Below are 27,970 nucleotides of genomic sequence, written 5' to 3' on the forward strand. Positions count from 1 at the left end.
TAATCTGTATTAGACCATAACATGTCAAGATGTTAAATGCATGTTGAAATCTGTAGAGTAAGCTCTAAGATAATTGTAAAAGAATAGCTACCTAACAAGATTACAGGGCAGTAAAAAATGGGATACTATTTTTGATTAATCAAAAAAAGGGCAAAAATGCAAAAAAAAAGAAATAAAACTAGTGAGCCAAATTGAAAACAAAAAGTAAGATGGCAGACAGAAGTCTGAAGTACAACTAAAACAGCGATTACATTTGTGCAGAGTTTCTCAACAGCAGCACTATTGACATTTTGGGTGGGATAATTACTTGTTGGTGGAGGGCTGTCTTGTGCATTGCAGGGCATTTAGCAGCATCCTTGGCCTCTGTATCTTGGCCATCCATCTATCTGCTGCTAGTAGCACCAACCCAGGTGTAACAAACAAAAATGTCTCCAGACATTGCTAGATGTCCTGTCAAGGACAAAAATTGTCCCTGGATTTGGTACCATTGGTAGAGTCAGCATAATCCTAATCAAAATCCCAGTAGGATTTCTGCAGAAATATGATGAGTCTAAAACTGATAGAGAAATGCAAAGGACCCAAAATAGAAAAGACAATCTTCAAAAATAAGAATGCAGTTACAGAACTTACACTAACTGATTTCAAGGTTTACTATAAAGATACAATAATTAAAGGACAGTGTATACTTGGCATAAAGAAAAATGAACAGAACAGAGTTCAGAAATAGACCACACATAGAATAGAGAGTCCAGCTACACACCTGACAAATATGACAGTAAAATGAAGGGGTGAAAAGAATGGCCTTTTCAATTAAAGGTGCTATGTCACTTGGCTACTCATATGAAAAAAAAAAAAAATATATATATATATATATATATATATATATGTATGTATCTTGATTCCATCACATCCTATTTAAATGTGAAATGTAAAACAATAAAGCTTTCCAAAGGAAACAGACAAGAACATCTCTGTGATCCTGGAGTAGGCAAAGATTTCTTAAATAGGACACAAAAAGAAAAAAACTGATAAATTGGACTACCTTAAAATTTAAGAACTTCTCTTCATCAGAAGACACTATTACAGAGTGAAAAGGCAATTCAAAAAGTGACAGAAGATACTTGCTATATATCTGACAAAACACTCATATCTATAATATACAAAAGATTTTTAAAAAATCATTTAAAAAAGGAAAGACAACCTAACAGAAACATGAAAAAGGACCTGAATAGACATATCACAAAAAAGGATAGCCAAATAGCCAATAAACATATGACAAGACTTTAAATATCATTAGTCAGGAAAATGCAATTTAAAACCACAATGAAATATCATTACACATCCATGAGAAGAGCTAAATTTAAAAAAGGGAAAATACTAGGTGCTGGCAAGGATACAAAGCAACTAAAACTCTCATTCAATGCTGGTGGGCGTATAAATCAGTGCAGCTAGTACGGAAAACTCGTTGGCAGTATCTATTATTTCAAAGGTGAATATATATATGCTCTATGATCTAGCAATTCCATTCTTTGATATATACCCAATAGAAATGTACATATAAGCTTATCAAAAGATATATTCTGGAATTTACTATACACAATCACCCTAAAATGAAAACTACCTCAATGCCTATCTGTAGTAGAATGGATAAATAAACTGTAGTACATTCTATGAAATACTATACAGATGAAGATTTACCACAATCAGAGATCTTCAAAAGTCTGGGTTATAGGCTCAGAAATATATAAACCAGCTTTCTCTAAGGAAGACAGCATAACACATTGCTACTTTGGCATAACACATTGCTACTTTGACATGACTATAAAAGGCAATCATATAGCTTTATGGGATGGCCATGAAATCACAGTTGTGTGACAATATGTCAATTACAGAAAGAATTGTTTAGAGATTTAGAGCCTTAGGAATCCTACATTCTATTCCTATAAAATGCAACCCTGATTACTTAGAGTGGTGCTGCACCAAAGTTTGATATTTATAACCAACAGCAACAGGGGCATTCTGGTCCAGAAAGTTATACTGGGATGAGGCATTCAGAACAAACGGATTCTCTGGATGAGTAGACAAAACCACCCAGAGCTCAGAGTGACTGAATAAACATGAATAAACATAAGCATGAGCAAACAGTTCTTGACTGCTAATGGACACCTAATCCCTTTCTAGTTTAGTGGCCCTCCACTGTGGTCCTGGAAAGTAGTTGGCAAGTAGGCACTGGAGAGGTGGGAGATGAGATCTGTGATTGGACAGCATGAATGAACTCACTGCCCCCGGCAAGCCTATTCCCCTCCCCTCTACCTAACTTGTAACAGGGGTGGGCTATAAGTAAGATCCCTGGGCCATGGTGTAAAGGTGGTGAAGACAAATGGAACAATCTGTACAGGAGACGGTGTTATACTTTACAGATACTTAGATCCCAAGGTACTTACTGTATCACACAATCAAGAAGTGAAAAAGGGAGGGGAAAAAGTGCAAAAGGAATTTGGAAACAGAATGAATACGAACAAGGAAGAGGGAGAAGGATCTGTGTTGAGCTGGGGTACTATACACTTTGGGCTATGTGAGAAGGCTGCTCAAGGTGCAAGGCCTGTCACAAGCAAAGGCCAGAAGGGAGAAAAGTCATAGCACCTAATAAAGGCAGAGATGAGACAGAGATGCCATTGTGGCAGGTGAGCCAGGCCTCACACATCCATTCAGATGAAATCATTTGGTCAGGGCCTTTGCACTTGCTGTTCTCTCCCCCATGTCCTCAGGGCTCGCTCCTTTACCACTTTCAGGGCTTTGCTCAAGTGACGCCTTGTCTGATCACCCCTATTAACACTGCTACCCATGCTTACTCCTCATCTCCTTTCCTTGCCTTTAAAATTTTCTTCCTTAGCACTTCACAACAGCTGTCAAACCAGATCATCTACCTGTTTGTTTACTGTTTCTCTCCTTTCACTAGAATACTAGAATCAGTGATTTTTGACTGGTTTCTTAATTGCTTTTGGCACACAGTAGGTATTCAATAAATGCTCATTGAATTAGTGGTCATAATGCAAGATCTGGTTCTGTCATTTGTAGAGTGCTGATATCAGCTATTCCGAATCGGATTCTAGATAAAACCTGCCATGCTCTTCTTCTCTTGGGGTGAGTTTTTCCTACAGGTAGTTGATCTCGTCTACACTGGGAGGGTCCTGCTAGATTCATTCTGATGGGGTAATCATAATTCTAGATTTGGTTGTACTCCAGCCCACTTTTAGACTATTTCCAGAACTGGGACAGAGGGAACATGTATATTTTCTCTCTATACATGCTTTCCCTTCTGAAGAACAAGTCGTAAGATGAAATAGGTACTTGTTCAATAATCCATCTGGTTGCAGTGTTCAGAGTACACTGGAGGACTGATCTGGGTTCTAGCCCTGGCTCTTACAGTACCTGGCTGTGTGATTTCCATGAATTTTATCTTCTTCAATATAAAATAAACTTATGGATAAGAAAATCTCCAAAATTTCCACCTTTGAATAACTAGCCTATGGAAAGAACGACTGGGTTTAGAGCCCAGAGATAGGAGTTCAGATGTAAGAATCGCCAATACAAGTTCTTGAATAGGAGGAAAGCATTTTTCTTTTGTTGTTGAAAAAACCCCCATCATACATCAGGCAATGTGCTAGGTATTTATTGTATTCCTCATCCACAAGCTGAGCAGCACAAGGCTCAGAGAGGTTCAGTGATGTCCACACAGCAAGCAGGTGTCAGACTTGGGATTCATCTCAAGCCCGCCTGACTCCAAAGGCTGTATGTACTCTTTCCACTATACCAGAGGTTCCCAACCTGGCTGTTTATCAGAATCAAGGAGGAACAATTTAACTACAGATTCCTGGGCTCCACACCAGATCTACGGAATCAGAATCAATGTGGTGGGGGAGCAGATATGCTTGGGAATCTACAATTTTAAAACTTTGCAAGGTCAGTCCCATGGCCACTGAGGTGTGGGAACCTTGCACTGTATATATTCTCTATGTGCTTTCCCTTCTGAAGAACAAGTCGTATGATGAAATAGGTTCTTGTTCAATAATCCATCTGGTTGCAGTGTTCAGAGTACACTGGAGGACTACTATCTTGGGTTAAAATGATGAGTTTATTTCTCTTCCCAGCTGAATGGTATAGTGTTACAGCTTTACTTGTGGTTTCCCCAGCATCTGCTGCTGTCTGCCAAGCAGTTCCCACTCACTGTTTGTTTAATAAATAAGTAAAAGAAGCTGGATAAACATTAACCCTTCAGCATATTCTGAAGTTTTGTTGATTGCTACTCATCTTTCCCTCTATCTAGAAATGTTTCCTTAGCATATACTATTTGCCCATACAGTGTGCTAAATTCTTGACAAGGGAAGAGAGATACAATGTTAACCAGAGAGGCTAACACTGTAAGGGAAGTGTACTGCAGAACAGGAAGAACATGCGGAGGAGGGGAATCAAGGAGACTTCCCATACATATTTCCGGAAATTACTCTAGGCTCACATAATGCTTAGTTTACAGCTGTCCCTTATAGAAAATATGTGAAGCTGTGGCTTGTATTACACTAATACTATGTGCCTGTTCCCTCCACTAGACAGGACCTTTTTTGCTAGACAGTACATTTCTAAAAAAGGGATTCTTAACTTAGAAGAGGGTGTACACAGAATATATATACAAATGACCTCCTGCCCTCCCCCGATTTATGACCTGGCACTGGAAACTGGGTAAGTTCTTCAGGTAACTAAAGTATGTTTGCATATTCTACTTATTTATAAATATTAATATAAACAAAAATTCTGTTCACACACACACATGAATACAAATAGAAAACTTAAGCTTCTCGGGAGATGGAGTAGGCATACATTTCCCTATTCTTTTTGTTAAGTATAACTAAAACCCCTGGACATTATATATAAAGCAAATACAAGAAGAAAGCAGACTGGTTAGGGACCCCAGAACCTGGGGAGTGACACAGTGCTGAGTTCCCCAGGTTTTCTTTCTGCCTCATAGACCCAAGCCCTGGAGCTGAAGAAGCTGGCAACCTGGAAGCACCAATGGGCACAGACACAAAAACCCCAACAAAAACCTGCTCTCTCTAGCCAAAGGAGTAGGGGAATGGGCACCCTCGCAAGACAAAAAACTTTTGGACAACAAACGCTCTACTCCAGCCAAACACTACAGAAAATAAGGCGGCCTCCACCCACGGTGGCAAAGGCTGATTGGAGAGCCTAGACTCCCACTCTCATAAGTCTGTAATGAGGCACCCTCAACACTCCTGCAGGGATGGTGTGAAGGAAGACAAAGTAGGAGCAGGCATTCCATCCCCACCAGCCCCAGTGTCAGTGGAGACCACACGGGGAGCCTAAACTTCCACTTCTACTTGGCAGTAATGAGGTAGCATCACAGGACACCTAGTCAGGACTTTCACCACTGCCCAGTGGTAATGATGCCACCTCCACTCCAATGTCAGTGGAGACCAAGTGGGGAGTTGGGACTGCCACACCCACCCAGCAGTACACCTCCACTCAGCAGTAGTGGGGAGACCTTTTTCTTGGGTGTCAATGGAGGCTGAGTGAGGAACTTGGACTTCTACCTCCACCTGGCAGTGATGAGGTACGGACCCCCTTCTCCTACCAGGAATGGTGTCAGAGATTGTTTAGTCTAAACATTAGACTAAACAGCCTAAACAGACAAAACAGCCTCAACAGATGTCTCAGAACATTATACAGAAATGTCCGAATCTCAATATAAAAATCACTCATACCAGGAACCAGGAGGAACTCAGACTGAATGAAAAAAGACAATCGGTATGCCGTGGTGGCTCACACCTGTAACCCGAGCACTTTGGAAGGCTGTGGCTGGTAGATCACCTGAGGTCAGGAGTTCAAGACCAGCCTGGCCAACATGGTGAAACCGTATCTCCACTAAAAATATAGAAATTAGCCAGGTATGGTGGCGCGTGCCTGTAATCCCAGCTACTTGGGAGGCTGAGGCAGGAGAATCACTTGAACCCGGAAGGTGGAGGTTGCAGTGAGCAGAGATTGTGGCATGGCACTCCAGCCTGGGCAACAAGAGCGACACTCCATCTCAAAAAAAAAAAGAAAAAGAAAAAAAGACAATCAACACATGTCAACACCAAGATGACAAAGAGACAAAGATGTCAGAATTATCTGATGAAGACATTAAAACAGTACGATTAAAATGTATCGATAAGCAATTATGAATATACTTCAAACAAATGAAGGAATAGAAAGCCTCGAAAAAGAAAAAGAAGATATAAAGAAACAAGTGAAAATTTTAGAAATGAAAATTTCAGTAACAAAGAAAAACTTCAGTGGATGGGCTCAACAGCAGAATGGAGGGAAGAAAAAAATCTGTGAGCTGGAAGATGGAACAATAGGAATTACCCAATCTGAACAACAGAGAAAAAACTACTGAAAAATATATAAACAGAGCTTCAGGGAACCTGTGGGACCAAGAGGGCAGGCTGAAAAAGTACTCAAAAGAAATAATGGCTGAAAACGCCACAAAGTTGGCAAAGACATAAATCTATATATCAAGAAGCTGAGTGAACCCCAAAGAAATTTATCCCAAGACTCTTCATAATTTAATTTCTGAAAACTAACAACAAAAAATATTGAAAGCATCCAGAGAAAAATTATACCTTGTCTACAGGGAAGAAACAATTTTTTTTTTTGAGACAGAGTATCATTCTGTCACCAAGGCTGGAGTGCAATGGTGCCAAATCCATTCATAGCAACCTCCGCCTGCCAGGTTCAAATGATTCTCCTGCCTCAGCCTCTCAAGTACCTGGGATTACAGGTGGGCACCAGCACTCCCGGCTAATTTTTGTAGTTTTAGTAGAGGTAGATTTCACCATGTTGGCCAGGCTGGTCTCAAACTCCTGGCCTCAAGTGATCCACCCACCTTAGCCTCCCAAAATGCTGGGATTACAGTGTGAGCCACCATGCCCAGAGGGGAGAAAACAATTCTAATGACAATCTCATCAGAAACCATGTAGGCCAGAAAGAAGTTACACAATAATTTTCAGGTGCTGAAACAAACAAACAGTCAACGCAGAACCATATACTCAGCAAAAAATGTGCATCAGGAATGAAGTGGAAATCAAGACTTCTGAGAAGAAGGAAAACAAAGAGAATTTGTCACCAGCCGACTTACTGTAAAAGAATGGCTAAAGAAAGTTCTCTAAACAGAAAGAAAATGATAAGAAATCCTGGAACATTAAGGGGGAAGAAAGAACATGGCATACAAAAATATGTGTAAATGCAACGGGCTTTCCTTATCCTCTTGAGTTTTCAAAACTATGTTTGACAGTTGAAGCAAAAATTGTAATGCCATCTGACATGGTTCTAAATGTATGTAGAGAAAATGTTTAAGACATTTATATGATAAATGGGCAGAGTAAAGAGACATAAAAGGAAATAAAGTTTCTATACTTTGCTAGGTAAAGGTAAGTTATGTACACACAATGTAATACCTAGAGGGACCACTAAAAGGGCTACATACAAAGAGATATACTCAGAAACATCATAGATAAATCACATGGAATTCTAAAAAACATTCAAGTAACCCACAGGAAGGCTACAAAAAGAAAGCAGATAAATGAAAAAGAGAATAAACAGAAAGAAACAAAATATAGTCATCTCTCGGTATTCACCAGGGACTGGTTCCAAGACTTCCATGGATACCAAAATCAGAGGATGTTGAAGTCCCTTATAGAAAATAGTGTAGTATTTGCATATAACCCATGCATATCCTCCCATATATTTTATATCAACTCTAGATTATTACAACACCTAACACAATGCAAATGTTATGTAAACAGTTGTTACACTATATTGTTTTAAAATCTGTATTATTTTTGTTGTTGTATTGTTATCTTTTACTTTTTATTTTTTTCAAATACAGTTGACCCTTGAACAATGTGGGGGTTAGGAGTGCCAACCCCCTCGAGCAGTCAAAAAATCTCTATAAATTTTGACTCCCCAAAAACTTAACTATTGACAGCCTACTGTTGACTGGAAACCTTACTGATAACATAAACAGTTGTTTAACATAAATTTTTTATGCTGTATGTATTATATGCTGTGTTCTTACAATAAAACAAGCTACAGAAAAGAAAACGTTATTAAGAAAATCACAGGCTGGGCCCAGTGGCTCACGCCTGCATCCCAGCACTTTGGGAGGCTGAGGTGGGTGGATCACCCGACGTCAGGAGTTCAAGACCAGGCTGGCCAACATGGTGAAACCCCGTCTCTACAAAAATACAAAAATTAGCCAGGCATGATGGCAGGTGCCTGTAATCCCAGCTACTCAGGAGGCTGAGGTGGGAGAATCACTTGAACCCGGGAGGCGGAGGTTGCAGTGAGCCAAGATCGCACCATTGAACTCTAGCCTGGGTGACAGAGCGAGGCTCCATCTCAAAAAAAAAGAAAGAAAGAAAAGAAAATCACAATTACTATTCATTAAGTGGAAGTAGATCATTACACAGGTCTGTCTTCATCTTTGTCTTCACCTTGAGTAGGCTGAGGAGGAGGTGGGTTGGCAGAAGGGAAAGAAAATCTGCATATAAATAGATGGCCGCAGTTCAAATCTGTGTTGTTCAAGGGTCTACTGTATTTTCAATCCACAGTTGACTGAATCTACAGAGACGGAACCCATGAATATAGAGGGTCAACTATAATTGTATTAAGCATAAAAGGTCTAAATACATCAATTAAAAGATTGAGATTGGCGGAGTGGATTTAAAAACATGATCTAACTACACGCTGTCTATAAGAAACTCACTATGCAGAATTATAGAGGCTGATTGAAAATCAAAGGATGGAAAAAGATATTATCATGTAAGCATTAATCAAAGGAAAGTAGAAGTAGCTATATTAGCACCAGATAAAGTAGACTTCAGAGCAAAAGAAAAAAAATTACCAGAGACAGAGTACAATGAATAACAGGTATATCTACTAAGAACATACTGCAATCTTAAAATGTATATGCTGTAAAATGTGTGAAACAAAAATGGATAAAACTAAAAGGAGAAACAAATTCACAATAGATGGTGGTGACTTCAATATTCCTCTCTCAACAATGGATAGGATAACTAGACCAAAAATCCACAAGGATATAGAAAAACCACCACCATCAACCAACAGGACCTATGACATTTATAGAACACTCCATCCTACAATAGCAGACTACACATTCTTTTGTTGTTGTTATTTGTTTTTTTAGACAGGATCTCACTCTATTGCTCAGGCTGCAGTGCAGTGGCTCGATGATGGCTCACTGCAGCCTCAATTTCCTGAGCTCAAGCAATCCTCCCACCTCAGCGTTCTGAGTGGCTGGGACTCCAGGTGCATGCCACTATGCCCAGCTAATTTTTGTATTTTTTAAAGACCGAGTTTCGCCATGTTGCCCAGGCTGTTCTTGAACTCCTAGGCTCAAGTGATCCTCCTGCCTTGACCTCCCAAAGTGTTAAGATTACAGGCATGAGCTACAGTGCCTAGCCCACATTCTTTTCAAGTGCTCATAGAACATAAGACAGATGATTATCCTGCCATAAAACAAACCTCAACAAATTTAAAAGAACTGAAATCATACAGAGTGACATTCCCCAGCCACAATGAAATCAAGCTTGAAATCACTAACACAGAGATAACAGGAAAATCTCCAAATACTTGGAAACTAAACAACATGTTTCTAAATAATCCACGGAACAGAGAGGAAACCTTAAGGGAAATTAGAAAAAAAATAGGGAAATGAATGAAAATGAAAATATGACACACCAAAATCTGTGGATACAGCTATAGCCATGCTGAGATGTAAATTAATAGTACTAAGTCATATATTAGAAAAGGGGAAAAGTCTCAAACGAAAAAGGTAAACTCCTACCACAAGAACCTAGACAAAGTAGAGCAAAATAAAGCAAGCAGAAGAAATAATAAGGAGCAGAAACTGACAAAACTGAAAACAGAAAACACAGAAAGTCAATGAAATAAATAACTGGTTCTTTGAAAAGGTCAATAAAATTGACAAACTTCTAGCAAGATTGACAAGGGAGTGAGTGAGCAAGAGAGAGAGAGAGAGAGAGAGGAGAGAGAAGAGACGAGACACTGATACTGGAAATTTCCAATATCAGTAATGAAACGGGACAGTACTACAGACCCTGCAGACATCAAAGGGTAATATGGGAATGCTATGGTTTGAATATCCGTCCCTTCCAAAACTCATGTTGAAATTTAATTCCCAATGTATTGAGAAGTGGAGTCTTTATAAGCCCTCATAAATGGATTAATGGGTTATCATGGGAACTGGTGGCTTTATAAGAGCAAAACAGACCTCAGCTAGCACACTCAGCCCCCTGGCCCTGTGATATCCTGCACTGCCTTGGGACTCTGCAGAGTCCCCACCAGCAAGAAAGTTTTTTACCTGATGTGGCCCTGTGACCTTGGATTTCTCAGCCTCCATAACTGTAAGAAATACATCCTTTTTCTTTATAAATTACCCAGTTTCAGGTATTCTGTTATAAGCAACAGAAAACAAAGACAGGGAATACCACAAATAGCTTTACCCATATAAATTTGACAACTTTGATGAAGTGGTTAATTCCTCAAAAAACACAACCACAATAGGAAAGAGATTATTTTAACAGCTTTATAACTTTTAAATAAACTGAATTTGTCACTTAAAAACTCCAGAAAAAAAAGGAAGAAGGGAAGGAAGGGAGGGAGGGAGGAGGGAGGAAGGAGGAAGGAGGGAGGGAGGGAAGCAGGGAGTGGAGGGAATCTCCAAACCAAGATGGTTTCATTGGAGAATTCCGCCAAACATTTAATGAAGAATTAACACCAATTCTGCACATACTCTTCTAGAAAAAGAAGAAACACTTTCCAATCCATTTTATAAAGCCAGTATTATCCTGATACCAAACCAAAGGCAATACAAAAATTAAAAAAATCTATAGACCAATTTCTCTCATGAGTATAGATGCAAAAATCCTAAAGAAAATATTAGGAAATTCAGCAGTATGTAAAACACACACACACACACACACACACACACACACACCATGATAAAGTGGGGTATATTTCAGAGATGCAAGACTGGCTCAATATTTGAAAATCAATTAGAGTTGTTAATACTAACAAGCTATTAACAAGCTTAAGAAGAAAAATCACATAATCATATCATCCTCACCTTTCAGACCTCTATATGTTGAAGAATCCTAGGACTCAGTCTCTTTTTACACCTTATTCCGTTATGACTCTCACATTTTTATCTCTAACCCAGATAGCTCTTCCTTGAATTCCAGACCCATAAACCCAACTGCCCCTTAGACATCTATACTCAGATAGGCATTTCCAAATGGACATGTCCAAATACAAATGCTTGCTCTTACTCTCCAAACCCACTCTTTTCTGTAATTCAGTAAATGGAAGCGCTATTCTTATAGTTGCTTAGGCCAAAACCCTTGGAGCTATCTCAACTCTCATATGTCTTTCACACCCCATATCCAATCTATCAGCGGATCCTGTTACCTCTTCCTCTAAAATATCCCCAGAACTGTCCCTTTCTTACCACTTCCACAGATACCACCCTGGTTTGAGTTATCCTTTCACCTGGGTTACTACAACAGCTGCCAAACTGGTCCTTCCTGCTTCTACCTTTGCACTCTTACTGTCTTATTTTCTACCTAACAGCCACAATGCTCCTTCTTTGTGCAAAACTGCCCAGTGGACTTCATTTCATTCAGAGTAACATCTAAAGTCTATACTATTGCCTACAAGTCACCATGTGATGCAGTCCCTTCGTACTTTTCTGAACTAATTTCCAGCCACCCTTCTAGTTCATATCACTCCAGCTTTATTGTCCTCTCTGCTGTTGCTCCAAAATGCCAACAATGGTATAAACTTGGTTTTCCCTCTTCCTGGAACAATGGCATATGGCTTGTCTCTCAAATGACATCTTATCAATGAGGCCTTCTCTGAGAAGCATAAGTAAAAGACTACCCACCTACACATATACATTCCTTATCCTCCTTATCTCCTTGATTTTTATTGAAGTTACTTACCACTTTCTGACTTATTCTAAACTTGCATGTTTGTTTTTCTATCTTTCTCAGTAGAAAGTAAGTTCCTGAGAACGTGGATTTTGTCTGTTAGCTTAGAAGAGTGCTTTGGACATAGGTGCTGAAAAATTATTTTCCGAATGAATGAATAAACTATTGGTTCAGGAGGCAAGAATTTGGGATCAGACATAAGATAACCCTAATTTGACTCCTGGCTCTGCTATTTCCTAACTATGTCCAAGTACATAGGGTACTTAACCATGCTTTACATTTTCTCGTCTATCAAATAGTGATTGTAATAATTTCAACTCCTAAGACTGATGTAAGAATTAAATTTAAAAAGTATGTAATGTGCTTAATAGACAGTGACTTGGTATAAAAGTGCTCAGTATATGACAGTGTTATTAATATGGAAAGATGATCTAGATTTCGACACAAAAGCCCTCAGTTATGACTAGATACTCACTGTATGATTTTAGGTTACTCACCTCTTTTACACTAACTCACTTGATAAATCAGGAACTGGGGCCAAAAAGATGGCTAAGTTGCAGCCCCTTCCCTCAAGTCTTAGTAATGTGATCTTGGGTAGGTCACTTAACCTCTCTGAGCCTGTTTCCTACGCTGTCCAAAGGGGGATAATATAATACCTCACAGCTTTGTTGTGAGGATTAAATGAGTTACTGTGTGGGAATTGTGTCTAGCACATAGTAACCTCTCACTGCGTTAGCTATGATTATGATTCCAGTCTGGAGGAAGGGTAAAAGCATGTAAGCAAAGAACTGCAATACAGTGCAATAAGAGCAAAAGCAGGCATCAACTAGAAGAACGTCTCCTAAACTAGAGTCTGCCCACAACTAGGAAGTTATACCACGATCAGGAAATTTTAAAACCCTCTTATGTCTATAACTTAACTCCCTACCATCACCCCCGTGGCAGTAAGAAAAACAAAATTTCTCTGCTGCTTTGATACCTGGGATTTAAAACTTAAAAAAAAAATAGGGTCAAGGTTTAGAGTCTCAGATAGTGTTTTGTTTTGTTTCAGAGAAGAGTCTCGCTCCATCGCCCAGGCTGGAGTGCAGTGGCACGATCATAGCTCACTGTAACCTCTAACTCCTGGGCTCAAGGTATCCTCTCGCGTAGCTGGAACTGCAGGTGAGCGTCACCATGCCTGGCTAATTTTCGCTGTTACCCAGGCTGGTCTTGAACTCCAGTCCTCAAGCTATCCTCTCGCCTCGGCCTCCCAAAGGGTTGGGATTACAAGCAAGAGACGTTGCGCCAGGCCTCAAATAGTGTGTCTCAACATGAGGTCAACAGACACATTGGGAAGGCTAAGTTAGTTCCCTCCACCTTTTCCCTAAAGTTAACACCTCACTTAAGTTCGAAAAAGTCAACTGGACCCGCAGACGGCAAAAGCAGCACGTAATAATACCCTGAGTGAGAACCCACTTAAGAGCCGAGAGCCCAAATGTGTGTTTCATGACGGCGCTGTTACAGACTAAAAGGTCAAAACAGGACATTAAAGGGTGCTCCGGGGGGCTGAGTAGGAGCTCACCAGGTGAGAAAGGGGATGTCACTTTCGGACAGAGAACGAGCGCCAGGGCGTGGAGGCGTGAAAAGGGCACGTGGGTGGCTTGGAAGAACCAAAACTAAGTGTTTTGGGGGACAGCCAGAGAGCCGAACACATATGGAGGAAAGATGCGGCCTGGGGCCCGCCAGATTAGAAAGGAAATCCCCCTCCCATATCCAGATCATGATCTCTCAGACTCAATGTCCCCTCAGGATACCCCTCTACAGGGTCCCAGCTGCTGGGCTCCCTCTGGTTCCCGCCACTCTTCCCTTACCTCGTCTTCCAGCCTTTCTCTCACTCTCCCGCCTCCTCTGCCTCGCCGGAAGTGACGCGCTAAGTAGCGCGCCGTATCGCGCCAGAAAGGTTCCGAGGGAGCGGGAAAAAGGGTTCCGGCGAGATCCACTGCGCCGGTGTGCAGGCTCGAGCGGTCAAAGCTCTTTCCGGGGGCCCGGGGAACTACTCTCCTTGCCTCGCTCTGTCTCCTTCGAAGTGCTCTGCGCGAGGTTCAGAGCGGCCGCCGCCTCCAAAGGGACGGTTTTCTAGAGCTCCGACGCCTCTCGGTGCCCCTCTGCTCCGGCCCTTGCCCTTTGACCTCGCTCTCGCGGCAGGGTGAGAGGTCGGGTGGCCATCTTGTGGCGGCGGCGCGGGCGGCTGTTACTGCGGAGACCCATCCCCTCCCCCTTCTCGCACCCCTGGCAGTCTGTCAGTCGGTAAAAAGTCCCGCAGCCTGTCAGGTGAGGCCCCGGCCTCGTGCCGTCGCTCTTCCCGCCGCACTGGGCGGCCCAGGCCGCTCCCTGCCGGGCCTCACTGCCGCCACCATGTCCTCCTTCTCTGAGTCGGCGCTGGAGAAGAAGCTCTCGGAGCTGAGCAACTCTCAGCAGAGCGTGCAGACCCTGTCCCTTTGGCTCATCCACCACCGCAAGCACGCGGGACCCATCGTCTCCGTGTGGCACCGCGAGCTCCGCAAAGGTAAACACCAAATCCCCACCCCCTGGACGGTCCCCGGATTGTCCTCTCGCCCACATACAACCTAGGCCCCTCTAAGCCTCTTCATTGAGCCTTGCTTTCCAGGCCTGATCGAGCTTCTGAGATGGGAGACAAAGTTAGCCCCATTTCTCGAAGAAGGAAACTGAGGCCCGGGAAGGTTTAAGGTACTTGCCTGAGGGTCCACGGACTGGGACTCAGGTGTCCAGACTTCTAGTTCATCAAGCCATTTTCCCTTCAGTTTCCCCCTGACATTTGTGGCTGTTATTATCTCGGCTGCATTCACTGCCGTACTGGCCCTAGCATGTCGGGCCCAGTGCTGGGTATTTGGAGTAAAAGCCAGTGGGCTCCGGAGTCAGACTCTGCAGATCGAGTCCTGGCTCAGCTATTTGCCAGCTGAATAATACTGGGAGAGTTTCTTCATCTCCCTGTGTCTCCGTTTTCTCATCTGTAAGAGGGAGGCAAGGATAGCTACCCCTTACAAAGCCTTTACTTCATACCAGTCACTATACTAAGACCTTTGTGTGTATCCTCGCACTCAGTCCTTAGAACAGCCCTGTGAAGTAGGTAGTCTCTCCCATCTTAGGTTAAGGGGCCACCCAGACCTTACCTCTCCTCTCCTCTCCTCTCTCATGCAGTTGTCATTGATTTCAGGCCCTGCTCAGGTTCTGACAGACAATTCATTGAACTCATTCTGTTATGTGCCAGGCACTGGCTTGGACACTTGCAGCATGTTGCCTCTGCCAACTGCCTAGAATTTAAGCCTGACTTTGCCGCCTTACTGACCCCAGCAACTTAACCTGTCTGTGCCTTAATTTTCTTATCTACAGAATGGATAACTGAAATTTACTATGTCTTTATTACATGCGAAGTGCAGTACTGATATCTTTACATACATTGCCATTAAAAAAAATTCTCGGAGCCCTATGAAGTAGGAACTTTGCAGAAGAGGAAAAACTGAGACTCATCTCGTGGTGAGGAGTAAACGGGATAATCCAAATGAACATTTAGCATGGGGTGAGGCACAGTGTAGGCATTCAGCAGATTATGGTGAGATGAGACTTTTGATTACTCACTGTGAGGCATGGTCTTTACCTTCAAGTTGCTTACAGTCTGGTGGGGAAAGATGGACACCTACACTCCCGGATGAGTTTCATAATGGAAGACTGAAGAAATGAAGCTCAGAGCTGCTCCAGACACCCTATATGTGGTAGGCCTTTATAGCGAAGTGGCTTTACAAGTGTTCTATACTATCTGTGAGTTGGGGACACCACAGATGTCCTGCTCTACAGGTGAGGAAACTGAAGTGGCTAAGTGGTATTTTCAAGGCTTTCGAACTGAACAGGCTCAGACTACAACAGGCTGGCAAACACCAAAATCTTCATGATTTTTTTCAGGAGACCCAGTTCTAGCCCTTTAGCAGGGACTGCCCCCAAATATCGCGTACTGTACTGAGATAGGGATCCCCTCAGCCCTTCGGGCAGTTCCGGGAAGAGGTAGAGCCTGGAGTTTATGGGGCCTTCTTCATGTACCCCACTGTGCCATTCAGAAATTATTTGAAGAGTGTGCTGAAATGTGAATTGCCACTGTACAGAATTCTATTGGGTGGGACCTCAAGAGGCAGTTAAAGTCCATCTCAGGTGTCATTTTTTTTGTTTTTTTTTTTTTGAGATGGGGGTCTCGCTCTGTCACCCAGGCTGAAGTGCAGTGGTGCGATCTCAGCTCACTGCAAGCTCCACCTCCCGGGTTCATGCCATTCTCCTGCCTCAGCCTCCCGAGTAGCTGGAACTACAGGGGCCCGCCACCACACCCAGCTAATTTTTTGTATTTTTAGTAGAGATGGGGTTTCACTGTGTTAGCCAGGATGGTCTTGATCTCCTGACCTTGTGATGCCCCCGCCTCGGCCTCCCAAAGTGCTGGTATTACAGGTGTGAGCCACCACGCCTGGCCAAGTGTCACTTCTTTTGTGACACTTTCTTGATTCCTTGCCTCACCCTAGTTGAGTTACTGAAAAAAAGCAAATTAGAGAGTACATTTGTGTATGAAGCTCCGTTATCCCTAATCTTACGTGGTAAAGCCTTATGTTGCAAGTAGGCTAGCATTATTATCCTCATTTTATAGATGAGATGATAAAGGTATAGAGGGATTAAGTGCCTTGTCCACAGACATACAGCTAGGACATGAGCCCAGGGCTGCCTGATGCCAAAATGTGTTCTTTTTCATGTACTCAGTGCCTCAATGCATTTAATAAGTGAAGGTGGTCACCTGACTGCAATCAAACTGTGGTGCTTTCATTTATTAGAATTAATGAGTGCCTCCCACCCCATCATACCAGTTTAGCATTTAATTTGTTCCTACTAGCTGTTCATTTGAACTGGTTACATCTTTGTCATTAGATTATGTTTTGAGAGAGGAACTAGACCTTCTTGTTTATTTGCAACACCACAGGATATCGCGTGGTGCCTGTTATATAGTTTAAAAATAGGAATTAAATCATGGTCTCTGATAGAATTTTCGTGGTTGAGTAAAGGATCTAAACAGCGCTATCCAATACAACTTTCTATGATAGCAGCATAAAGGATATAAACAGCGCTATCTAATACAATTTTCTGTGATAATAGCAATGTTTTCTATCTGTGCCATCCAACAGGTAGCCGCTTGGTATATGTGGCTATGGAGCACTTAAAATGTGTGACTAAGGAACTAAAGTTTTAAGTAGATAGAATTGAAAATTTAGTTTCCAGTTTTTACCAGCTGCAATTCAGGTGTTCCAATAGCCACACGTGGCTAGTGGCTAACTTACTGGACAGTGCAGAGTTAAAAAAAGATGCTCTTCCAAGCATCAATACCTAGCTTCCGAATATCCAGGCTTATTTCATGAACTGAAAATGCCCCCACACTGAAAGAAAAGGATTCTGTGCCCTAATGTTCAGATTGATTAGCCCTGTAGGTTCTACCTAGGGTGAAGTCATTTTCCGTAGCTGAGATGCTCACAGACTGTCTCTGAGTTGCCTTCAAAATATATGAGATTTATAAAAATTAACTTTTTTTCTTGCTTAAATACTTCTATTCCTGATGTGTTGTCTTTCCATTTTCTAGGAATAATTTTTAATTTATCCCATTTGAGCTCTGTTCTAAGTAGAACGTCTCCCCTTCTTTATGGACTAGTTTTGGTGTAAAGTGCTCCTAAATGAATGTTTTTAATGGTGTTTTGTATCTTGGCCTGAATGTAGGTAATGGGCTTTTATTGCAGAATTACTTTAAGACTTTCTGTAGATGTCAAAACCAGCCAAACAAGTGAAAAGTTTTGATTAACCAGTTGTTTAAATTTTACTCAACAACTAGTTTGACCAGTTTGGAATGGACATGGGTAGTGAGTGAAAGGACCTATTTCTGTCGTATAGGAAGGACATCTGAACAAGTGAGTTGTCCCCCAGGATTGGGATGGAGGGGTGTGCATGTTGTGTGTATTGTGACTGTGTGTGCTCAAGAGCTCTAGGGTTTTGTCATATCACCTTGACACACATGGTGCTTATGTTGACTGTTGAGGATGTTGAATATGGAGGGATACAGTTTATCCTAAATAAATCCCCATTGTTAAGTTCTGGGGTGATGAAAATTAATTGGCATTGTAAACAGTGAAAACCTTGGGTCTCAAGCCCCTTAGATACCTTGTTTGTCTACTGAGAAGTATATATCAGGTCTTGAATGTCCACACTGACATTTTACAATATGGATTCTAGGTTTTTTTTTTTTCAACATAAAGTGTATGGAATTTTAAAGCTTCACTTAATGAAATTTGCTTTGTTGAAGTTCTGTTTTGCTTTCGAATCTGCTAACTTGCATGGGATTATAGGTGTAGTAGTTTCACTTACATCAACTTTGCAGAGCAAGGTTTGCTTTAACAAAAAAGCACGTTTTGCCATAATCATACCTTTGTAGCAACAGTAGATATTGTAACTACTGACACTTTTGTTCTGCTTTTGAATAATAATTAGAAAGTTGAAGAAAGCTCCAGGTTCCTAGTATTCTTATCAGTTGGCCATCTAAACTAGGTTATTACCAGAAGGTTAAGACAATTCAGGGTATCCATATTTAATTTTATGAGCATTTAAGACATCAGTTTCATCAGTTTAAACTGTAATGTGCTATTAAAATCATGTTTTTAACTTGGGTTACTCTCCTGTAGCTACATTTTTTTTTTTTTTTTTGAGACGGAGTCTCTTACTCTGTCACCCAGGTGGGAGTGCAGTTGGCGCGATCTCGGCTCACTGCAACCTCCGCCTCCCAGGTTCAAGTGATTCGCCTGCCTCAGCCTCCCAAGTAGCTGGGTTTACAGGCGCCTGGCACCACGCCCGGCTGATTTTTTTTGTTTTGTTTTTTTTTTTTTTTTTTTTTTTTGAGACAGAGTCTTGCTCTGTCACCCAGACTGGAGTGCAGTGGTGTGATCTCGGCTCACTGCAAGCTCCGCCTCCTGGGCTCACCCCATTGTCCTGCCTCAGCCTCCTGAGTAGCTGGGACTACAGGCGCCCGCCACCACGCCTGGCTAATTTTTTGTATTTTTAGTAGAGACAAGGTTTCACCATGTTAGCCAGGATGGCCTTGATCTCGTGACCTCAGGTGATCCACCTGCCTTGGCCTCCCGGAGTGCTGGGATTACAGGCGTGAGCCACTGTGCCCAGCCTCCTGTAGCTACATTTTAAAATGTCAGATCTTATGCCTGCTATGTCAGACATATCAATGCTTTGTACATTTCAAAAGAAACAACTGGTTTCAGAGAGAAATAGAGTTACTCAGGTGTGTTAAGGTTGATAAAGAGCTTGTGTTTTTCAGGTACTTTAGCATTGGAGAAAACTTTGTGTTTTGAAACATCTAATTATGTTCTTATTTATTTCTTTTAAAAGAAAATTGGAACCAAAAATTGTAGGGATGTAACTTTATAGTTGAGAAATTATGTGCATAGAAGCCAGGGAATTCAGTAATGTTCCCCAAAGCAACTGTAACTCAGACATATTGCACGAGGTTTTTATGGTTTAATATATGATACCATATAGAGTAATAGGGAATAACCACATTTCATATAAATAAGAGAGAATTATGGTTTTTGTGAAAGCCCTAATTTTGCATATCTAGATTTCACACGTGTGTAAATTTTCAATAAGAGTGTAGTGTTAATGTATACTTGTATTTGAGCTAATATCTATTGGTGCACCTAGAGATTCTTCTATATTATTGATTATGGTTATTGGAGTATCAGAGAAATTCTCAGTTTAGGAGCAAAATTACAAGAAACCTTTTTTTTTTTTTTGAGACGGAGTTTTGCTCTTGTTGCCCAGGCTGGAGTGCAACAGCATGATCTAGGCTCACCACAACCTCTACCTCCCGGATTCAAGCGATTCTCCCACCTCAGCCTCCTGAGTAACTGGGATTACAGGCATGTGCCACCACGCCAGGCAAATTTTGTATTTTTAGTAGAGACGGGGTTTCTCCACGTTGGTCAGGCTGGTCTCAAACTCCCGACCTCAGGTGATCCGTCCATCTCGGCCTCCAAAAGTGCTGGGATGACAGGCATGAGCCACCACGCTCGGCGAAACCATTTTAAAATTGAAACCTAACTCAGTCTTTTTTTTTTTTTTTTGAGACAGAGTCTTGCTCTATTGCCCAAGCTGGAGTACAGTAGTGCAATCTCGGCTCACTGCAACCTCCACCTCCTGGGTTCAAGCGATTCTCCTGCCTCAGCCTCCTGAGTAGCTGGGACTACAGGTGCCCACCATCACACCCGGCTAATTTTTGTATCTTTAGTAGAGGTAGGGTTTCACCATGTTGGCCAGGCTGGTCTCAAACTCCTGACCTCAAATGATCCACCCACCTCGTCCTCCCAGAGTGCTGAGATTACAGGCATGAGCCACTGCGTCCGGCCAACTCAGTCTTTCATTCTGAAATATTTGATAATTAAAAGTGAGTTAGAAGTTGCTCATTTTTGCAGTAGAATAAATAAAAGCCCTAGTTTCAACATTAACACTGACTGCTTATCCTTTAGGAATTCTCTTTGGATTATCTTAATTTTTACTATCAATTAATTACCCTGGTTTAAACAACACAGCAATGAAGATGGCCCATTCTTTTTCTTTTTCTTTTTTTTTTTTCCGAAATGGTATTCCCAAACCTATTCCTTAGGTGGTCTTTTTAAACATATCTACTTGACCCCCCAGGTAGATAATACTTGTCTTAATGTTTTTTTAGGAGCAGCCCAGGGCAAAAGAATTGTGAATTGAGAATTTCTTTGGTGTAAGTTAAATTCTTTTCTTTTCTTTTTTTCAGCCAAATCAAATAGAAAGCTTACTTTTCTGTATTTAGCGAATGATGTCATCCAAAACAGTAAAAGGAAAGGACCTGAATTCACTAGAGAATTTGAATCTGTCCTTGTGGATGCTTTTTCTCATGTTGCCAGGTATGTTGTCTGTTTTTTGGATTTGTTTTTAAATTCATTGCCTTTCCCACCTTTTTGTTCTTTCCTTTTCTGTGATAGCCTTTGTAAATTGACAACTTCCTACTTTACAGAGAGTTGTGGAGGCCGAATTGTGGTTTTATGTTTTGTTGAGCCCTCAAGAACTATCGAGACATGTAAACATTCTGATACATTTGAGAGATTCAGCCTAGCATTATCTTTCTTCTAGATATATTCATTTTCATTTTTTGAATTTATTTCTTGGTTATGGTATTTTCCTTGGTTTGGTTGAGTTGTCTCATCAGCTTATGATCAAAAAACAAAGCTAACTAGTAAGGGAACCTTTTAGTAACATAACTTAATAGCAAGAAATTAATTGCCAAATGCCTTCCTTTTTATTTCCTTCTGGATTTCTAGATGTCTAGTTTACTAAAAATAGTAGGCATTACTGTAACTGCAATAATAGTAATTATTAGTGTAGAAAGTAGGTGTTTGCTCTGGCTATATTGTATTAAGCCTGGTGCTGTTGTGTTTTGTGGCAGAGAGGAGTGGCACTCATACAACTAATACCATAGAAAGCATACATTGGATTAAAAGTTTTATAAATTACTTTACTTCATGTAAAAACAAAAGCTTTCTGTGGGCTTAAATTAGGTGCCCAGGAAAAGCAAAGAAAAACTATCGTTCATTAGAATATTATGTTTATAAGTAAATATATAAACAGATATTTGCAAAAGGAATTGGGAAACATGAATGGGAGACTAGTAGGTTAAACATAAATTGTTACTAGGTCTAAAATATAGTGAAAGGCCTTAAATGAGAAATGAAGTCCTGCTTTCATTGCAGGATTTGAAAAGTTTGAAGGAATAAAATTAGAAATCCAAGAGAAAGAAATGACACCTAGCTTTCTAGAGATGAAAAAGATGGTTTTTGTGGATAAGTTACATAACTGGCTCACCTTTTGATCAACATGGGCGCAAGTAGCAAAATGTGTTATTAACTTGAAAAAAATACTGAATCTTCATAACAGAGTAAGCTTAGAACAGACTACTAGAGGAGCTATCTGAAATAGACAGATTTTCTTGCTTTGATGAGATTTAGTTCACAGTTGCTTAGAAATTGATGGTAGCTCTGCCTCAGACACTATGTGAGTGACCTTGGATGTGTTACTTAACTTTTTGAGCCCAAATTTCCTAACTGGCTAAAGGGGGAGGATACCACTCCCCCTCATAAGAGTTGTGAGGGTAAAGACAGACAATATGTTTAAAAGTATGTAGTACAATGCCTGTTCCACATTTGCTCATTCATTGGATCATTTGTTTTTTCCTATATTCCAGGCACCTAGTAAAGTGTCTGGCACAGAGCTGCTGAGTTATGTAGCTTGAAGGAATACCATTTATATAGCCTCCATGTAAGTGGTGTCCCAGGAGCTGGGCAACATTATGGTCTGCCCTGACACAGTAGGCGTTCAGTAAATATTTGTTAAATGAGTTAATTAATGTTAACTCATTATGGAAGAGATTTGGTCTAGGGAGTTGGCTGGAATGATTTCTTGTAGGGATAGTAAACATAACAGTGTTATTAAAAAATTCCAGCCTGGGCAGCATAGTGAGACCCTGTGTCTACAAAAAATTTTTTAAAAATTAGCCAGGCATGGTGGTGTGCACCTGTAGTCCTAGCTACTTGGGAGGCTGAGGCAGGGGGATTGCTTGAGCCCAGGAGTTCAAAGCTGTAGTGAGCTATAATCATACCACTGCACTCCAGGTTTAGCAACAGAGCATGACCCTGTCTCTAAATTACAAACAGACAAACGATCTGTAATCTTTAGCTGTCCTGAAACCAAAAAGTAAATAGAAAGGGGTGGAAAAGGGGGTGGGCAACACCAGGGTTAAAAATTCCTTTTTTCTTGGGAACACCTTAAAAACTAGCCAGGTTTTAGGTGTCTTGGCAGATTCAGTGGCAGTGTGAGGAAGATAAACCTGGTCCTTCTCAATAAAATAGCCCGAATTCCTTTCTGTTTGCATTCTGGTTCTTTTAAGATTCTGCTTGGGTATTACATTCAGGATACCCATGTTTCCAATCTCCTTTCTTATACCCCATTATTGGGACAGAAAGTCCAACAGTTCTGCTTCAACCGTGATGCAGCTCGTCCACAGTAGGAGTAGCCTAATTAACATATACTTTCTGTGTGCTTTTTCTGTGGTCAGTTGATGAACAAAGATAGTTGACCCATTACTGTTGACTAAATTGATGAGGGATATTTTTATGATAAAAGACACCTCCACACCCAAAACAAACAAACAGTAAAAAAAACTCTCAAGTCAGAGAAAGCTGCCAAGTTCATAGGATAGATTTGATTTGAATAGCAGTTTAATTAACCAGACTGCAAACTTGCTTTTCATACAAGTGCCTTGTTTTCTTCCCAGTGAGGAGACAGCTGTCCATGTCATTTTTCATTCAACATGTATTGGAGTGCCTTCTATGTGCCAAGTATGGATCCAGACACGGGGGGAGCAGCAGTGAACAAGGCAGGCAAAGACAATTAAATGAGCAAGATACTTTCAGAGCAGGACAATATGGACATAGTAAAATGGAGTGATGTTCTAGAGTAGGATCTCACAGGTAGTGTGGTTCAGGAAGGCCTCTAAGGAAATGACATTTGCGGTAATCATGCGAAGCGGGAGCAGCTATTAAGAAAAACTTAAGGCAGAGATCATCTTGGCCTTCTAAGAGAAACAGAATGAAGGCTGGTGTGGTTAGAATATAGTGCACAAAGGGAAAAGTGATATCCAGATGAGGTCCGAGAGGTGGACATGCAGCAGTCACATACACCCTGTAAGTCTTGGAAGTTAGGATTTTTTTCTCATGGGATGTCATTGAAGAGTTTTAACCAGGGGAATGATATATTCCAATATATTCCAACATACATTTTTAAAACATCCCTCTTTAAAAATGGCTTAGTGTAGAGGGATGGATTGTAAAGGCCAAGGGAGGGGCGGGGACATGAGTTTGGAGGATATTGCTGTGATGCAGGCTAGAGGTGACATTGCCTAGGACTCAGAAGCAATGGGAAGATACTAATAGCTTCCATTTATTGAGTGCTTCCTTCGTGGGAGGATCCCCACCTCTCCAGTGTAAAACTGATAGGATTTATAGGCGTTGAGTGGGAGCTGGTAGTAAGTGAAAAGAGAAATCAAAGACGATTTCTAGGTTTTTGATGTAAGGAATGACTGATGGTGCCCTTTACTGAAGTGAAGATTGGGGAAAAGATTTGGTGGAGGAAATCACGAGTTTTGTTTTGGCCAGGCCGAGTGTGAGGTGGCTAGTGAATATTCCAAGGAGTGATGCCAAATAGGCAGGTGGATAAAATAGTCTGAAGCTCAGTAGAGACTTGATTTCTGGAGACATAAATTTGAGAGTTACCCACATGATATTTACTTATTGTTGTGGGCCCCAAGACCACTCCCAGGTTTGGTGATTCCCTAGAATGACTCACAGGGCTCATCATGTAGTCATAGTCATGGCAGTGATTCATTACAGCTAAAGGATCCAAAGCAGCAGCAGCAGCAGAGGGTGATGTGCATGCAGTACCCGCAGCAGACTGGAGCGCTCTGGGTATAAGCTTCCGAGTCCTCTCTCAGTGTTATTCCACAAACACGCTTAATTCCTCTAGCACTGAGTTGTGATGTGTATGATGTGTAACCTACCAGGAAAGCTCATTAAAGACTCTGTGCCCAGAGTTTTTATTGGATTGGTCATGTAGACACCCTCTGCCAAAATTCTAAGCTCCCAGAAATAAATCAGGTGTTCATTTTTTTTTTTTTTTTTTTGAGACGGAGTCTCACTCTGTCGCCCAGGCTGGAGTGCAGTGGCTTGGTCTTGGCTCACTGCAAGCTCCGCCTCTCGGGTTCATGCCATTCTCCTGCCTCAGCCTCCCAAGTAGCTGGGACTACAGGCGCCCGCCATGATGCCCGGCTAATTTTTTGTATTTTTTAGTAGAGACGGAGTTTCACCATGTTAGCCAGGATGGTCTTGATCTCCTGACCTTGTGATCTGCCCGCCTTGGCCTCTCAAAGTGCTGGGATTACAGGCGTCAGCCACCGCGCCAGGCTCAGGTGTTCATTAAGAACCGTATTGCTTGCACAAACAATTTAGGCCCAGTAAACCACCCTTACCAGTTAGGAAATGGTAGGGACACTCGGAAATCCCAAGTTCCCAGACCACTTCCCTAAGGGTAGCAGTCTGGCCTTCTGTGTTAACTCCTTTCTGAACCAGCTTTACATGAGGTACTGTTGGAAGTGTAGGGAATACTTAGAATTCCTGCCCTTAGTAGGCCTACCATAGGCCTGCTGTGCATGAGATAAGACAGAGTTGTACAAATTACTGTGGTTGTACTGAAAAAGTGCCATAGAACTGTAGAGGAAGAAAAGGCCCCCAAGGCTGGCTTTGCAGGGACTCAGGTGTCCAGCTGACACGTCAAGCAGCCAATTCTGTTTGTGTGTATCATATACATTTTTCACTCTTAAAGGTCAGTTTTGCTATCTGTATTGAAAAATAAAGTGATTGAATTTGTTATTAATCAGAATTAAAATATGAAGTGTTCAACGTAATATTAAGTTGTGTATGTAATTATTTGCCATCTTCCACTTTATTCATAGATTGTTGGCAAAGATTGTTCAGTCTTTTTTTCCACTTAAAGATTTCTCAGTTTAGATTGGAGTTAGTACAACCTGAAAATATTTCTCTTTCTGTTATAAAACGGCTTTATTACTTTGGTTGTATCTAATTCCAGATGCCAAAGTGACTTCCATTTCGCTGGAGCTACTTCCTTCAAAACCTAATCAGTAGAAAGATTTCTTGAATATTTTATGTATAACTTTGAAACTTATCTAGCAAAACTTTGATTTACCACAATGTTCAAGGAAATATCTGTCCTGGTTAGTTATATTCACTAATTAAACTAGAACCCCCCTTTTGGCCTTTAGTAGTAAAAGCCTTTTGAAAATGTTTTGTGGTTATAACAGGTTTGAGCATCATTTTCCACTGTGCCTGAAACTGTACACAAAACCAGTCTTAGCCTGAATGGAGTCCCAAGTATCTCCAGGAATGGTGGGTGGTGGGTGTGTGTTGTGATACCCACCTACTTTTAAACTAAGTCCTTGATAAGAATTTATTCTCGAGACTGGTTTCTCTTTCTTTTAAGCGAACAGAGAATCTGCAGCAAACAGATTTTATGCTAAAAGTACCAGCTAGTTCATTAACTAAGTTCTGATTAGTTGCAATTTGGTTTTACTAATTATAATGACTTTATTTTTCTAAGCTATACATTTGCTCACATTAGGGACCTCCCATTGCCTGCAGGCCACGTGCTTTAATATGGCATTCAGGGCTCGCTGTAATTGAATTCCACCCTCCTTCCAGATTCTTCTGCAGTTTCCGCACATTCCCCCATATACTTCAGCTACTTGAATTACTCCTTTCCCTTTGCCTTGTTCAATTTTGGCTATTCCATTTGAAGGAGAAGAGATAGCATGAACAAAGGCACATGCACATGAGAGAACAAATTCTGAGTAGCAAATACATACGGGTGGGTGTTGCTGGAATGCAAAGTTCCAGGTAGGGTAGGGAAAGGAGACTAAAAACAGGTCTGAGGGATTGCTGAGTCGAGCCCTAGAGGTCAGGACCCAGGCCTTCTTATTCTTTGTAAACCTTCATTGGTCGAGCTGAGGAGTGCTTAGTTGATTTCTGCCATGACCTTGATACAGTAAGATGATTGTTGAAAGTTAAGTAACTGTATTACTTACCGAAACCCATATACATTTTTCTGGAAAAGATTACAATTTGACAGATATTCATTGTGCTTGTTCAAGGGCATATAGCAATGGGAGAAAATGACAAATCTGCACCCCTGTGGAAATTACATTCAAATGGAAAGCGTGTAAACAAAAAGTAAACTATTGAATATACAGCATACCAGAAAAGTTGTATGGAGAAAAATTGAGTAGGGGCAGGGAGTGTTATTTTCAACGTGGAGATTAGGGAATGACACACTGAAGGTGGTGTAACTAAACATACCCCTGAAGGAGGAGAGGAATTGAGCTGTGTGGCCACATGGGGAATGTGGTTCCAGGCAAAGCAAACTTTTGAAGTGCTAAGGCTCTGAGGCAGTGCTAGGGTAGCTGTTGTTGAGGCAGGAGGTTGGAGGACGGGGGTGGGGAAGAGTGGGTAGGAGATGAGGCCAGGGAAATAACAGCTGGGTTGGGAAAGGCCTTGGAGTCTTTATAAGGACTTTTATTCTGAGGGATACTGGGAAGAAATGTTGGCAATTTTGAACAAAGGAGTGACGTGGTCTGCCTTAGTACAGCAGCTAAAATTGTATTTTGAAAACTCGAGAACAGGTTGTAGGAGGACAAGGGTGGAAGCGAGGAGACCAGTAATGAGGCTACTGTAGTAATGCAGGCGAGAGATGATAGTGCCTTGGGCCAGATTGATAGCAGAGGAAAAGATGAGAAATAACTCATTTCCGGATATATTTTGAAGGTGGAGTAAAAGTGTTTTATCACAAATACCAAGTAATTGGGTCATATTTTTAAGCTTTATAAAATTAGCAGTAGAAATGTTTTTCCTTTTTTTTCCCGAACCCTCACTTCTGACTTTAAAAAGTTTAACAAAAAAAGAATTAATTTTTATGTACTCTGATTGAGTCCTTTAGTCAGTGAAATTTACCACTAATAATTCATAAGTGAGACATTCTGACTGGGCTAGGCTGAAACCTAAGTTCTCCTTGAGTTTATGAAAGCGTTGTCATGGTCGGGTGTGAATAGAGTTCCCATCTCAGTTGAATTGGCATGGTTTCTCCTTGAAGTTCCTATTAAA

The 27,970-nt window shown here is 41.2% G+C and overlaps 2 protein-coding genes and 1 long non-coding RNA gene across 10 annotated transcripts in view, besides 3 other annotated features; 2 read left to right on the plus strand and 1 right to left on the minus strand.

The window, feature by feature from the left end:
- TTI1 (TELO2 interacting protein 1) overlaps positions 1 to 13,989 on the minus strand; it is a 50,436-nt gene extending 36,447 nt beyond the window's left edge. For all 7 annotated transcript variants that reach the window (XR_001754440.3, NM_001303457.2, NM_014657.3 and 4 more), the window contains exon 1: positions 13,937 to 13,989. The gene's annotated coding sequence lies outside the window, so the exon portion shown is untranslated. The remainder of the gene's footprint in view (positions 1 to 13,936) is intronic.
- Positions 13,720 to 14,315: an enhancer, noted in NCBI's record as "NANOG-H3K27ac-H3K4me1 hESC enhancer chr20:36661589-36662184 (GRCh37/hg19 assembly coordinates)". NCBI's record gives its function as "activates a minimal SCP1, AML or CMV promoter by ChIP-STARR-seq in naive and primed H9 embryonic stem cells {active_cell/tissue: H9 hESC(naive and primed)}" and the evidence as "EXISTENCE:reporter gene assay evidence [ECO:0000049][PMID:30033119]".
- Positions 13,846 to 14,115: an enhancer, noted in NCBI's record as "active region_17854". NCBI's record gives its function as "activates an Ori minimal core promoter by ATAC-STARR-seq in GM12878 lymphoblastoid cells {active_cell/tissue: GM12878}" and the evidence as "EXISTENCE:reporter gene assay evidence [ECO:0000049][PMID:35858748]".
- Positions 14,279 to 27,970, plus strand: part of RPRD1B (regulation of nuclear pre-mRNA domain containing 1B) — a 58,619-nt gene continuing 44,927 nt past the window's right edge. Inside the window, exons 1-2 of one of the 2 annotated variants that reach the window (NM_021215.4) lie at positions 14,279 to 14,631; positions 20,968 to 21,097. In NM_021215.4, coding sequence (NP_067038.1) covers positions 14,481 to 14,631; positions 20,968 to 21,097 — 281 coding nt within the window. In that variant the 5' untranslated portion in view covers positions 14,279 to 14,480. Of the gene's footprint in view, positions 14,632 to 20,967; positions 21,098 to 27,970 lie in introns of those variants that run through there. The other variant, XM_047440346.1, reaches the window with a different exon arrangement.
- Positions 14,316 to 14,911: an enhancer, noted in NCBI's record as "NANOG-H3K27ac-H3K4me1 hESC enhancer chr20:36662185-36662780 (GRCh37/hg19 assembly coordinates)". NCBI's record gives its function as "activates a minimal SCP1, AML or CMV promoter by ChIP-STARR-seq in naive H9 embryonic stem cells {active_cell/tissue: H9 hESC(naive)}" and the evidence as "EXISTENCE:reporter gene assay evidence [ECO:0000049][PMID:30033119]".
- On the plus strand, positions 14,639 to 18,640 carry LOC124904898 (uncharacterized). The gene is made up of 2 exons (XR_007067579.1): positions 14,639 to 15,938; positions 17,992 to 18,640. It is a non-coding gene; the product is annotated as an uncharacterized LOC124904898 (long non-coding RNA).

This window comes from Homo sapiens, chromosome 20, assembly GCF_000001405.40.
Source record: "Homo sapiens chromosome 20, GRCh38.p14 Primary Assembly".
NCBI classification, from domain to species: Eukaryota; Metazoa; Chordata; class Mammalia; order Primates; family Hominidae; genus Homo; species Homo sapiens.